The 13,656-nt window shown below is 55.2% G+C and overlaps 4 annotated features.

The window, feature by feature from the left end:
• Window positions 1,073-1,574: an enhancer, noted in NCBI's record as "H3K4me1 hESC enhancer chr22:44988307-44988808 (GRCh37/hg19 assembly coordinates)". NCBI's record gives its function as "activates a minimal SCP1, AML or CMV promoter by ChIP-STARR-seq in naive H9 embryonic stem cells {active_cell/tissue: H9 hESC(naive)}" and the evidence as "EXISTENCE:reporter gene assay evidence [ECO:0000049][PMID:30033119]".
• Window positions 3,227-3,922: an enhancer, noted in NCBI's record as "H3K4me1 hESC enhancer chr22:44990461-44991156 (GRCh37/hg19 assembly coordinates)". NCBI's record gives its function as "activates a minimal SCP1, AML or CMV promoter by ChIP-STARR-seq in naive H9 embryonic stem cells {active_cell/tissue: H9 hESC(naive)}" and the evidence as "EXISTENCE:reporter gene assay evidence [ECO:0000049][PMID:30033119]".
• Window positions 3,923-4,617: an enhancer, noted in NCBI's record as "H3K4me1 hESC enhancer chr22:44991157-44991851 (GRCh37/hg19 assembly coordinates)". NCBI's record gives its function as "activates a minimal SCP1, AML or CMV promoter by ChIP-STARR-seq in naive H9 embryonic stem cells {active_cell/tissue: H9 hESC(naive)}" and the evidence as "EXISTENCE:reporter gene assay evidence [ECO:0000049][PMID:30033119]".
• Window positions 5,313-6,007: an enhancer, noted in NCBI's record as "H3K4me1 hESC enhancer chr22:44992547-44993241 (GRCh37/hg19 assembly coordinates)". NCBI's record gives its function as "activates a minimal SCP1, AML or CMV promoter by ChIP-STARR-seq in naive H9 embryonic stem cells {active_cell/tissue: H9 hESC(naive)}" and the evidence as "EXISTENCE:reporter gene assay evidence [ECO:0000049][PMID:30033119]".

Below are 13,656 nucleotides of genomic sequence, written 5' to 3' on the forward strand. Positions count from 1 at the left end.
GGGAGCCTCCCTCTGTGAGTGCCAATTCCCTCACCGACTTGGGGTCTCCCAAGAGGCCACCTCACCTGGCCATGCAAGGAGGAAGCAGCAGAGACCTAAACAGTCATACTCCCTCCCGGGCCTGCGGTAAGGACAAGTGAGGACCCATACCCGGGCTGAAGCTGCTCACCCTCAGCAGCGCTGGCGTCCTTGTCTGCCCACAGCTGCCCAACCGCCTCCATGAACTGGGAGGTAAAAGACGCCTCCTTCCGCACCCTGCCGGGCTGTCCTGCCTGTGACCACACTGCTGCCGACCCAAGTCCTCGCAAGGCCCTGCCCCACTCTGCAGCAGGCAGGCCCCCAATTCAGCCCCCTGTCCTTGCCCGGAGACTCTGAGACCCCAGCACCCCCTCCAGGCAACCAACCTCCAAACTGTGGCTGCGGCTCTTTGAGGCCGTATTTGCAGGCAACTTCAGAGCTAAAAATTTCAAGGCAGGTAAAGGGGAGTGGGGGTGCCCCTCCTTTTCCATCCTGCTGTTACGGCCTCCCCCTGGCACCAGGAGGCCCTGCTCACTGCATCTGGGTGTGCAGATGGGATGGAGACGCTGATACAGGGGCAGAAACAAAGCAGCAGGCAGCAGCCAGCACATGGGGAGACACAGGCTCCACAAGCACACACCGTCAGCGCCCCCACTCCCAACTCCACCAATGCAGGGCGTGGGGACACAACCAGGCTGCCCTGTGACCTGTGACCACTGGGAGAGGGCTTGGCCCTCGCAGACGCTGACCCTGAAGGCACAGTGGACCTGCCCACTGCAGCTAGAGGCTAATTTTCAGTTCTCTAAATTGGGGAGAGAAGAGCATGTGTCTCCCAGCCGTGTGGGGAGGACACAGAGGACAACCCAGAGCGGGGCTCTGTTTTCTTCAGGCACTGGGGCTGCTCCCAGAGACAGCCACGTGCAGAGAAGCAGAGATCAGTAGCTCTCAGGTCTCCATTGATGTGGGGAATCTTGACGTTAGTAGCAGGCACTTGGATATGATTTGGGGCAACTTCTCACTCAAATGCACTCTTTTAGAAGAACTTTTCATGCAGAGGCATGGCAGGGGCGGTTTTTTTATACTGAGGTTCTGGGAGTTGTAATGGTATATTTAGGACTCACTTGACCTACCCACCACCCTGAGGTTTGACACCCCTCCCATGCCCCTCCCTTGCCCACACCTGGACACAAGGAGCCCACCTCCAGACTAGGGCCAGCCCAAGCCCCTGTTGGGAAGGGAATTTGCCTCCTCCCGTGGCTGCCCCACCAAGACCAGCTCCATGCTAGAGGCCTCAGACCCGTGGTTCCCCCGCCCAGCAGAGCAGGTCAGCAGTTTGCAGCCATCGCAGCCCTGAGCCTGCTCTCCTCCAGGCTGGCCAGCCCCTCCACCATCACTCAGGGGACACTTAACTCTCAGGCCCCCTCCTATAGCAAAGCTTCCAACCTCCGGCATTTATGGAGAAAATGATTTCCTGATCAAATATTCATGGGCCTGCCAAGCTTAAAATAGGTCTAAAAGGAAGGAGGGCAATTTTTGTCCAGCACAAATGCTTGATGAGGTGACGTGAAACCACGGGGCTGGCTTCTCCGTGCTGTCCCTCTGCCCATCCCCCACACCACCAAAGGCCCCGAGACACTGAGCAGGGTGGGCCTCACAAGCATGTGATCTGTGCAGCTACCCAGGGCCTGTGCAGTGCTTAGCCTTCTGTGGTTTGTGACCATTCTTTTTGTTTCTTTGTTTTGAGACAGGGTCTCGCTCTGTTCCCCAGTCTGGAGTGCAATGATGTGAAATTGGCTGACTGCAGCCTCAACCTCCTGGGCTCTAGCAATCCTCCCAACTCAGCCTCCACAGTGGCTGGGACTACAGGCACACACCACCACCCCTGGCTAACTTTTGTATGTTTTGTAGAGACGGCGGGAGGGGGGGGTCTCCTTATGTCACACAGGCTGGTCTTGAACTCCTGGCCTCAAGTGATCTGCCTGCCTCAGCCTCCAAAAGTGCTGGGATTACAGGAGTGAGCCACCGTGCCCAGCCTGTGGCAATTCTGAAGCAAGAGGCCCTTGCTTCATGCTGACCCCACCCCACCAATGATGAAGTGGTCCTGGCTGTCCGGGAGACACCTGCCCTCCAGACCCTGGGGACACAAAGGCAGTCCTCTCAGACTGGGCAGAAGGAAGGTGAGAACCATAGTTTCCGATGTGCTATCACCTCACTTCATCCTTAACCAGCCCTGCGAGATCAAAACAACATTCACAGAACAAAGGCCTTCATCCCTGTGTACTGGACACCCACTGTGCATGGCAGGTGCCTAGGTCACCTTGAAAGACCTCCAACAGCCTTGGAGTTGTGGAGATGGGGCGCATGGTGAGGGGACCATGGAGGCTGAAGACGGGGGCCAGGACCAGGCCAGCAACCACGGTGACAAGTGACTGGATTCTAGAGTGACAGGACCACTCTTTGTCAGTGGCTGCAAGCCCAGGATCCCTCTGCACTCCTCCGTTTCACATACCCTGTGTCCAGTTGATCAGAAAATACTTTCAGGTCTACTTGCAGATTTCTTTAGGATCCAGTCACTTGTGGCCGGGCGCAGTGGCTCACGCCTGTAATCCCAGCACTTTGGGAAGCCAAGGTGGGCAGATCACCTGAGGTCAGGAGTTTGAGACCAGCCTGGCCAACATGACGAAACCCCATCTCTACTAAAAATACAAAATTAGCTGGGCGTGGTGGCACATGCCTGTAATCCCAGCTACTTGGGAGGCTGAGGCAGGAGAATCGCTTGAACCCAGGAGGCAAGATTGCAGTGAGCCGAGGTGGCACTATTGCACTCCAGCCTGGGCAACAAGAGCAAAACTCCATTTCAAAAAAAAAAAAAAAAAAAATCCAGTCACTTGTCAACCATGTTCCCTGACCTGGCCCAGGTCCCTGTCTTCAGTCTAGGTTGTCCCCGACCCCCGCCATCCCCAGTCTCTCTCCAGTCATGGCCCACAGTGTAGCCACATCTCAGGGGCCGACCACCTCCCTCCTCACCTACTCATAGTAAAGCCAAAGTTTGTAGGAGGCCCTGACGCCCCACTTCCTCCTGCCCCCTCCCACCCCTAGGCAGCCTCAAAGCTCCTTCCCTCACCTCCCTATTGTGACTGACCTGGAGGGGAAGAGGCTGGATCATGGAGGACCTTATAGCCCCAACAAGGATGTGGCTTTTTCCTGAACAAGTTTCAGCTGCTTACATGAGACTCAGGCATTAAAGGGTGGCAGGTGCTGTGGCGGGGAGCACATAGCAGGGGGTGCCGGACGGCAGGAAGACCTGTTGGGGATATTGCAAAAATCCAAGTAAGCCATGAGGACGGCTCAGCCCAGGGTGAAGACCGTGCAGGTAGGAAGATGGGGCCTGATTCTGGCCACGTATTTTGCAGACAGATTTGCAGGTGGGTCATCTGTGGATGTTAGAGAGAGGGAGACATCAAGGACGACCCCCAGATTTTTGGTTTGAGCCACTGGAAGGTTGGAGCAGGTCTGGGGGGACAGCAGGAGTGGAGGGGGCCATGGGAGTCCACCCCCAGACACCCAGATGGGTACATGGAGCTGGCAGTGATGTGTGAGTTTAGGAGTCAAGGGAGAGGTCTGGGCTGGAGATGGATTCAAAGGCTGCCAGGTGCATGTGAGCCAGGCACTTGGAGGGGCTTCCAGGGAGGAATGAGGGAAGGGAGAGAAGAGACCTGAGGGCTGGGCCTGCGGGGCGTGCCTGTGGTCAGAGGTCACAGAGATGGGAAAAGCAGCGGCAGGAACCAGCAGGGAGTGGCCAGAGCCGGGCAGTGAGTCGTACAAGCTGGTGTTTTGCGATTCAAAGCCGGGCTTTGGGGAGGGGGAGAATGATTTGGGAAAAGCAGCATGCAGCGAGGGGAAACCTTGTCCCAGCTCCAGGCCCAGGAAAAGGGGGCGTGGGGGAGGAAAAGAGATCCCCTCGAGGGCTGCTACGCACGCAGGGTCTTCAGGGACAGTGCGTGAGAGATGAAGGACAGAGTAAAGAGAAAAGGGTGAAAATCACAAATTTTGCTGATAGGCCAGGCAAGGTGGCTCATGCCTGTAATCCCTGTACTTTGGAGGGCCGAGGTGGTGGATCACCTGAGGTCAGGAGTTCAACACCAGCCTGGCCAACATGATGAAACCCTGTCTCTACTAAAAATACAAAAAATTAGCTGTGCGTGGTGGCACACGCCTGTAATCCCAGCTACTCAGGAGGCTGAGGCAGGAGAATTGCTGCAACCCAGGAGGCAGAGGTTACAGTGAGCCGAGATCGAGCCACTGCACTCTAGCCTGGGCAACAAGAGGAAAACTCTGTCTCAAAAAAAAAAAAAAGAATTTTGCTGATAAAAACACTGACTGAACTAGTGAATGAGTGAATGAATGATGAAACACAAGTTTGGAGAATGAAATAACAGTACCCGCCCGCACCTGGGCCAACCCCCAGCCGTTCCCCATCCCCAAAGCCCCTCTGATGGAGCCTGGGCAGCCGTGCTGTCATTTAGGCTGTTTTTTCTGGTTGTTATCCCACGCAATTGCTTGCAGCTTCTCCTAGGAGACCACCAAATGATGACGCAAATGTCGCCCTGCTCCGCGGCGGAAGCAATCACCGCGGCTGTTGGTGTGGATCTGCTCAGCCATCACTCTGCCCTCTGCCTAATGGAGCAGCCCTTTCGCCAGGGTCATTTAACAGCCAGGCTGACATTTATATGGCAGGCAGTTAGCGGCGAGGAAATGAGACTTGCGCCCGTTCCTGACAGCTTCCCGCCTGACTCAGGCAGGGTCACACTTGAGCGAGCTGGTAATCTCTCCTTGCCAGAAGTCGGGGCAGAGGGGGTAGGGGAGCTCTCAGCGGGGGGCACAGGAGGGTGCCTGGGAAGCTTCTGGCAGGTGAATGCGATTCCGTCACCATCTGACATGAGCCCTTCTGCTGCTTCTCCCATGAAACAGCGTCTTGTTGTTCTGAAACACACTCTTGCATTTATTGTCTAATATGATCACAGAGAGGACAGCGTGGCCCTCTCTCTTCATCCCTTAGGGTGAATATCCCAGGGGCGTTCGCAGGTCATACCAGGAGAGTCCTGGGATACTCACCCTCGGGGATGAAGGGAGAAGAAGGCTCATTCCCCTGTTCTGATCTGCACCAGCCCTGGCTTACTAACAGGTGGGGTTGCTGGCCCTGATTGTGGGAACTGCCCCCGTAACCCTGCAACCCAGCCTGCAGCTGCCTGGACAAGCACAGCAAAATGACACCCTGAGAGCCTGAGAGGACAAAGCCGATTCTTTGGCCCCATTAGCCCAGGACCCAGTGCACCTTCTCCACCGTCACACCCAACAGAGGGGCACCAAATCCCACCCCTTCGACAGTGTTGACCAGCAGGACCCCGGCCAGCTTTGGTGGACAATGAGCAGCACCTAGGACGGTGCCCACTGCAGGCCCACAGCGGTGGCTTCTGTGACTTTAGTGGGGTCACCAGCCACCACAGCAGCGCAGGGCAGGCTTTGTCCTCCAGGACAAAGGCTGGGACAGCCACTTGAGCCGTGCTCTTCCCCGACTGGCTCTATCCAGTGAGAGGCCAGTACCGGGCGAGGCTGGGGACAAGCAGGACACCAGAAGCCAAGAAGGCCAGACCCGGAGGGCACAGCCTCCTACCCAGGGAGCTCATCCCAGCAATGTGGGAGCAGCCCTGCCCAGAGAGGGAGAGGGAAAGGGCCTGGCCTGGGGACACACAAGCAACTTAGGGCAGGCCGGAGCTGAGAGCACTCAGGAACGTGGCTGGGGGAGGGAGGGTGTGCGTGCTCGGGCAGGGGCAGGAGGCTGCAGGGTCGGGTGAGGGAAGCACCAACTGTGTGCCCATTCAACCTTTACATCAGCCCACTCCCCAGATGAGGAGGATGAGGTAGGAGTCAGGAGGCTTGCCTGACTCAATGGCCCGGGACAGGTCCGAGTGGGTGCCCAGCTCCCCATTCCTGTCCATGGCCCACACATCTGCACGCGCCCTGCATTCCCAGCACTGGGCTCCTTCTGAAGTGGTCAGGAGCCATCTGTACACCCCCCAGGCCCCGCACCAGCCCCCTCTGGGGTCATCAGAACAAGCAGTGGTGCTTTCCAAAGTAGGCCGTGGGTTTCCACAGCACCAGGTCACACCAACTCGAAGGGTCCCTGATGAGGGTGTGGAGGCTGCCACCAGGAAGCCCCTCTGCATCGGCCCCCTGCCGTGAGAGCCTGGCCAAGTCCTCTCACCTCTCGCAGCCTGGGTCCCCCACCCGTAGGACGGGGCCATTAGAGAATCTACGCCCAGGACATTGTGAGGACTGGATGCGCCAATGTCTGAGGCAGTGCATTAAGAAATGCCAGGTGCCGGGCAGATGTGGGGGATTGTTCCTAGGACTGGGGTGTTGCCATGGTGACGGGCACTCCGTGTTTAGCGGGTAAACATTCCCAACCCACTGGAGCAGCTGTTCCTGTCTCATCTGACATCTCGAAACAGGCACGGCCTCAGCACAGCAGTGATGGGAAGGTGGAAACAGCCTGTCCCGGTTGAGCGCAGGGCACCCCGTCCAGGGGAAGGCTCTTTAAGGCTCCTTCCTCCAGAGAACGCTAGGCAGTGGTTCTGCTGTTAGCTGCCGTCCAGAACCTCCCCCCAGGACTGGAACTCACCCTGTTTAGTGCTGCTTAGACCCAAACACAACCCCTCCCACATTCCATCTCCACCTGGGACAGAATGCCTCCCCCGCGTCTCCTGGGGCCACGAGGTGACCCAGCCCCTACCCCTCAGTGAGAGGAACCCACCCATGCAGTGATTGAGGGAAAGAGGTCCTGACAATGCAGCGAGCTCAGAGCTTGGGGGCGGACACCAAGTTCTCTAGGGCCCTGACCATGGAAACTTCCAGATCCTGGGTTTACAGGAAACAGCCGCCAAGAGGGAGAACTTAGGATCCTGCAACGTGCGTTGCCCTGCTCGCCACCCTGGATCCTCACCCAACTTCCTTGCTGTAAAACAGGGATCATTCATGCTCTACAAAGCTGCAGCACCAATGAGACCAGGACCATGGCACAAAAGGCACAGTGCCCGGCCCCAGTCCGTGTCAACAAACTGTAGCCAGCTGAAGGTGGTTTTGTGAATCCTGTGAGGCTGCTGGTGGAGGGGAAGCATCACTAAGCCCATTTCGTAGACTTGGTAATTCATGTGTTCCAGATATACCCACTGAGGCCGTCCAGGTAGGCCCTGAAGACTCAGCAACAAATGGCCAGCCCCACCCCACTGGGGGACAGAGAAAGCCTGGACAGACACACAGACGGGGTGCCCTTCACAAACGGATGCCACAGGGACATCGGAATACAGTGGACTGTGAGTATCTATTAAAAGCCATCCTCAGAGGAGCCCTTCTGCCTCTGTCATCAGAAGCCCTAAGACATCATCAAGAAAAAAAGAAAGGAAAATAAGGAGAAGAAGAGGCTGCTAAGAAGAGGAAGGAGGGGAGAAGAGGAGGAGGAAGAAGGGGAAGAAGAAAAGGCAGGTTTCCAGAACCTCCATATTTCCAAAGTGAGCTCATCTTTGGACCCATAGCCCAGCCACCTCCCTGGGGAAGCAGTGTGGGGAGCTGAGAAGCCAGAGAGGGGGTTCCCTGAGCACTGGGGACACTCAGGCATTTCCCCCACCCCTGGCCATGGGGGAGACAAGTGGGTCCTTCGCCTTGACCTTAGCCTGGTGAGAAGGCAAAACTGTTCCCCACAGTTTGGGGTGCACAGCAGGTGCAAAGACCCTAGGGTGGTGCTGTGCTCGCCCAGGGAACAGCAAGTCCTGGGGTGGATCCAGTGGGGTGGGGAGGCCCTGGGGAGGGTGAGGAGGCCAGGAGCCGGAGCTCAGGCCCTGAGGCCCCCAAAGACCACGGTGAAGACTTGGGGAGCAGCTGGAGAATGCGGAGGCCATGTGGCAGGGCCTGCTGTGTACCCCAACAGGCCACTCTGACCGCTGTGTGGAGGAGACTGCCCGGGTTAAGGGTGGCAGCAGGGGCCCCTGCAATGAGGCCGGTGTGGCCACACAGAGGCTGAGCAGTGGCTCCCCCGGGGTATTCAGAAACCAGGACCCATGGGACTGGCTGTGAGCTGAGGACCCTGAGGCCCAGGGAGGGGACATGGCCTCCCTCCAGCCCTAGACGCTCTTTTCCAGATGAGTGGGACCCAGGTTGCAAACCCTGGCAGAGACAGGATGCTCCTGCCAGCAATATTTGCAAATTGTGTTTTAATTAGTTGAAAATGATTAGCTCTGTAGCTTCAAAGCCCCGAAGACTTTGATTCCCGCCTCTCGTGGAAAAACACCAAGTGGCTGTGAGTTAGAGCAGGAAGAGGGAGGGAAGCTGGGTTCCAGGGGTGCCCAGGCCCGGGCAGCTCCAGGGCTTGGCCTGCCCTTGGCTGGGGAGCCTCCAGCTTTCCCGGTCCCTGGCCTCAGGGGGTCAGAACCTGGTGGGACTTTTGCACAGGCTGAATAGGGGCAGTCCCACCAACACAGCAGCTGTGTTTCTTTTTTTTTTTTTTTTTCCGAGACGGAGTCTCGCTCTGTCACACAGGCTGGAGTGCAGAGGTGTGATCTCGGCTCACTGCAACCTCTGCCTCCCAGGTTCAAATGATTCTCCCGCCTCAGCCTCCTGAGTAGCTGGGATTACAGACACATGCCACCAAACCCTGCTAACTTTTTTGTATTTTTACCCAGGTTTCACCATGTTAGCCAGGATGGTCTTGATCTGCTGACCTCAAGTGATCTGCTGACCTGGGCCTCCCAAAGTGCTGGGATTACAGGCGTGAGCCACCGTGCCCAGCTGGCAGGTGTTTTTGTGTGTGTGCTTTTTTTTTTTTTTTTTTTTTTTTTTACCACAGGTGTTCAGTGAGTGTCTCCTTCACACTAAGGACTGTCCCAGAGTGTTGGTGAGGAAAGCCACAGCCAGCCCTGGCCTTGAGGAGCTTGTAACTCAGTGCAGGGGACAGACAGAGGAACACACAAATGTCACACAGAATCTGCACCGTGGTGAGTCCCACAGGGACAGTAGGTGTCTCCAGGAAAGCAACTTTGACAGAGCAGTCACAAAGGGGTCTCAGAGGGGGAGGCCTCTCAGCTGAGACCTGAAGGCTCAGAAGAAGCAGCGTGTGCAGAGAAAAACCACAGCAGCCGGCACATGCAGAGAAAAACCACAGCAGCCAGCGGTCACACGCATGGCCGGAGCATCGGCAGAACCGGATCACACAGGTCAACCCTTCATTTCGCAAAGGGCGTCCCCACCCGCCTTCTCACAGTAATGCTGTGGGGAACGTGTTTTTAATCCCTATTTTACAGATAAGAAAAGTCGAGGCTCTGGGAGGTGAAATGACCCCCACAAATCTCAGCACTCTGGACCCACTCCCAGGACTGTGTCCCTCTACGTGCCACCAGCCCACTCTCTCCAGGGACCCCCAGACTTAGCCCAGAAGGGTTTCTCTTCCTCTCCCTTGGCCACTTGGAGAAGCACCAGCTCAGCCAAGCCATGGCTGGGAGAAGGACTGGAGCGTCCGGCCACCTCCTCTCTCTGGGGCAACTGCAGCAGCCCCTGGCCAGCCCTCCCTGCGTCAGCTCAACCCTGACCCAAGGCAATGGGGGCAATGGGGAGGGTCTTCTCCAAACAGAAGCGCTGCTGGCAACAGAATTGAGCTGAACAGGGGAGACATGGCCCCATCTCTGCACTCACACGCTGGGGGAACTTGGCCAAATTCTGTCCCCGGTTTCCCATGCTAGATAACAAACTACCACAAACTTCACAGCTTCACACAGCCCTCGTGAGCCCGCAGCTGTGCAGGTTGAAAGTCCAGCCTCAGCATGACTGCGTCTCCACCCAGGGTCTCAACAAGGCTAAAATGGGCCGGGTGCAGTGGCTTACGCCTGGAATCCCAGCACTTTGGGAGGCTGACGTGATAGGATCACTTGAGCCCAGGAGTTCAAGGCCTGCCTGGGCAACATAGCAAGACCCCACCTCTAGTGAAAATAAAAATCATCCAGGCATGATGGTGCGTGCCTGTGGTCCCAGCTACTCCAGAAGCTGAGGCAGGAGGATAGCTTGAGCCCAGGAGGTGGAGGCTGCAGTGAGCTCTGATTGTACCACTCTACTCCAGCCTGGGCAACAGAGCCAGACCCTGTCTCTCAAAAAATAAATAAATAAATAAATAAATGTAAATAAAATGAAAGAATGATAATGGTGATGATGATAACAATAAACAAAGGCTATAATCAAGGTGTCTTCCCGCTGTGTTCGCATCTGGAGCTCAGAAACCTGTTCTAGCCTCAACTGCATGCAGTAGAATCCAGGTCCTCCAAGCATGGAATTGAGTCCCCGTGTTCTTGCTGGTCAGAGCCTCCCTTAGTTGCTAAAGGTGCCATCCCTCTTTGTCATGTGGTCCCTCCATCTTCAAAGCCAGCCTTGGAGAAGCTCTGACATGTCAAATCCTCCCACACTTTGAATCTCTCCCGTCTCGAGGGTCCAGTCTCTTTACAGTCTCACCTGCTCACCTGATCAGGTCAGGCCCACCAAGATGAACCACCTTTTTTTTTTTTTTTTTTTTTGAGACAGGGTCTCAGTCTGTCACGCAGGCTGAGTGCACTGGTGCAGTCATGGCTCACTGCAGCCTTGGCTTCCTGGGCTCAAGCAATCCTCCTGCCTCAACCTCCCGAGTAGCTGGGACTACAGGTGTGCAGCAACACACCTAGCTAATTTTTTAAATTTTTTTGTAGAGATGAGGTCTTGCCATTTGCCCAGGTTGGTCTCAAACTCCTGAGCTCAAGCAATCCTCCTGCCTCAGCCTCCCAAAGTGCTGGCTGGGACTCCAGGCATGTACCACCACGCCCTGCCTAATCATCCTCTCTCTTAAGGGCAACTGATTGGGGTCTTAACTGTATCTGAAAAACCCCTTCACAGCAGCACCTAGATTTGTATCTGACTGAATAACTGGGAGGAGGATGCATCCATCAGGGGCGGAAATGTGGAGGCCATGTCAGCATTCCACCCCATACATCCCCCTCTGAGGGGATGCTAGACCCTCAAGATCTGCCCTCCTTCCCAACCTGCTTTGCAAATGCGCAAAAGCCAGATGCCAGCATCTACAGTCAGCAAATGCCCCCCCCCCCCACATCACTTTGTATCTCTGTGGAACTCCCCTCATTTCTTTTGAGGGGTGGGAGAAAACAAGTCCCAACATTTAGAACCCTCCAGAGCTCTCAGCAGCCATGAAGCTCCAGACCAGCTGGAAATGGTCTCTCCCACTCCAGCATATGCTCAGGCCCTTGGAGCAATTGTTACATAGCCCAAGCAGAACCTTCTTTAAGGACTAATTTTTTTTTTTTAATTTTTGAGATTGAGTCTTGCTCTGTTGCCCAGGCTGGAGCACAGTGGTGCTAACATGGCTACTGCAGCCTCGACCTCCCTGGTTCAAACGATCCTCCCACCTCAGCCTCCCAAGTAGCTGGGACTACAGAAGCCGCCACCATGCATGGCTAATTCTTTATTTTTTGTAGAAACAGGGTTTCACCATGTTGCCCAGGCTGGTCTCAAACTCCTGGGATCAAGTGATTGTCCCACCTTGGCCTCCCAAAGTGCTGGGATTACAAGCATGAGCCACTGTGCCTGGCCAGTAATTTTAAAGTATGATATATGGCCAGGCACAGTGGCTCACACCTGTAATCCCAGCACTTTGGGAGGCCGAGGCTGGCAGATCACTTGAGGTCAGAAGCTTGAGACAAGCCTGGCCAACATGGTGACACCCTGTCTCTACTAAAAATACAAAAGTTAGCTGGGCGTGGTGGCGTATGCCTGTAGTCCCAGCTACTCAGGAGGCTGAGGCAGGAGAATGGCTTGAACCCAGGAGGCAGACGTTGCAGTGAGCCGAGATCTCGCCATTGCATTCCACCTTGGGCAACAGAGTGAGACTCTGTCTTTAAAATAAATAAATATGAGTTTGCTGAGGCTGCCATAACAAAGTACCACAGGCTGGGACTTAAGCAACAGAGATTTATTTCCTTACACTGAGATCAAGGTCAGCAGGGTTGGTTTCCCCTGTGGCCTCTCCCCTTGGCTTGTAGATGCCACCTTCTCCCTATGTCCTCACACGGTTGTCCCACACTAATATGTCTGTGTCCTAATCCAATAGGACTGGTGTCCCTATCATCTTCTCTTCTTATAAGGACACCGGTCCTATTGGATGAGGGCCTGCTCCAGTGACCCCATTTAACTATAATCGCCTCTTTAAAGACCCTGTCTCCAAATGCAGTCACACTCTGAGGGCCTGAGGATGATGACTTCAGCATAGAATTGGTGGGGCCTGGGGACACAGTTCAGCGCATGGCACACAACCCCTCATTGTTCCAGAAATCTCTAAAGTGCAAACGAATGTTCAGTTCTTATTACCGTTGGCTCTCCAACAGCTGCAATCGAGGGTGCTCCCAAGCAGGCCACAGATGCAGAAAGGTTCCCTTACAAACAGGCCAGCACAGAAGGCTAAGGATCCTCCTTTTTCAAGGAGGAAAAAAATGGTTTTTTGTGGTTCACACATAAGGAGAACTCACAGACTCAGTTTCACAACTTTAACCATGAGTCACAAGTTAGCACAGGACACAAAAACCCACTGGGCGGCTGAAGCGGCTGCAGAAACGCGGAGCTCCGCGAGCCCCAGAGACCTCAAGGGGCTGCTCTCTGCTCCAGCCGCACAAGATGCATTTCGGGAGTGATTTTCACTCATTGAGATTCAACAAGATCAACATAGAGGACCCTGCCCGCGATGGAAAAGACACACAATATACACAGGTGGTGAGGATGAGACCGGGGCGCCCTCCCAAGCCCACGGTCAGGACGGGCGGCCCTCGAGCCGACCAAACCAGAATCTTGGGACCCATGATCAAGCGGTGGGTGTTGCTAATGCTGAAGATAGCAGGATCCTCAAGGCAAACAGACCCACACAGGCAAAAAACAAAAAGGCCCAGATTCCCCGTGTCTGCCACCCAGCAGGGAGCCCGGGGGGTGCACTGAAGCCGCTTCCCCCAGAAATGCAGCAGCCGGGCTCCAGAGGCACGTGTCAGAAACCACACACATACACACACACACGTGGTACATGCCACATATCACACACATACACCACATACATCATACACACACCACACACATCACATACCACACATGTCACACACATACACCACATACACCATACACACACCACACACATCACATGGCACACACCACATATCACATGCACACACCACATACACCATACACACATACACCACGCACACACCACAGGCCACACACCACATATCACACACATACACCACACACACCATACACCACACATTACACACACATGCACCACACACATATACCACACACATACCATATAGCACACATATACCATACACACATCCCATGCCACACACCACAAACCATGTGCCACATATCACATGTCACACACACACACCATGTACCACATACATCGTACACCACACACACCCTGCACACACACACCACATATCACATACACACCACACACACATCACACATCACACACACATCAAACACACACACACCACACACACACACACCATATAC

This window comes from Homo sapiens, chromosome 22 (assembly GCF_000001405.40).
Source record: "Homo sapiens chromosome 22, GRCh38.p14 Primary Assembly".
Classification (NCBI taxonomy): domain Eukaryota; kingdom Metazoa; phylum Chordata; class Mammalia; order Primates; family Hominidae; genus Homo; species Homo sapiens.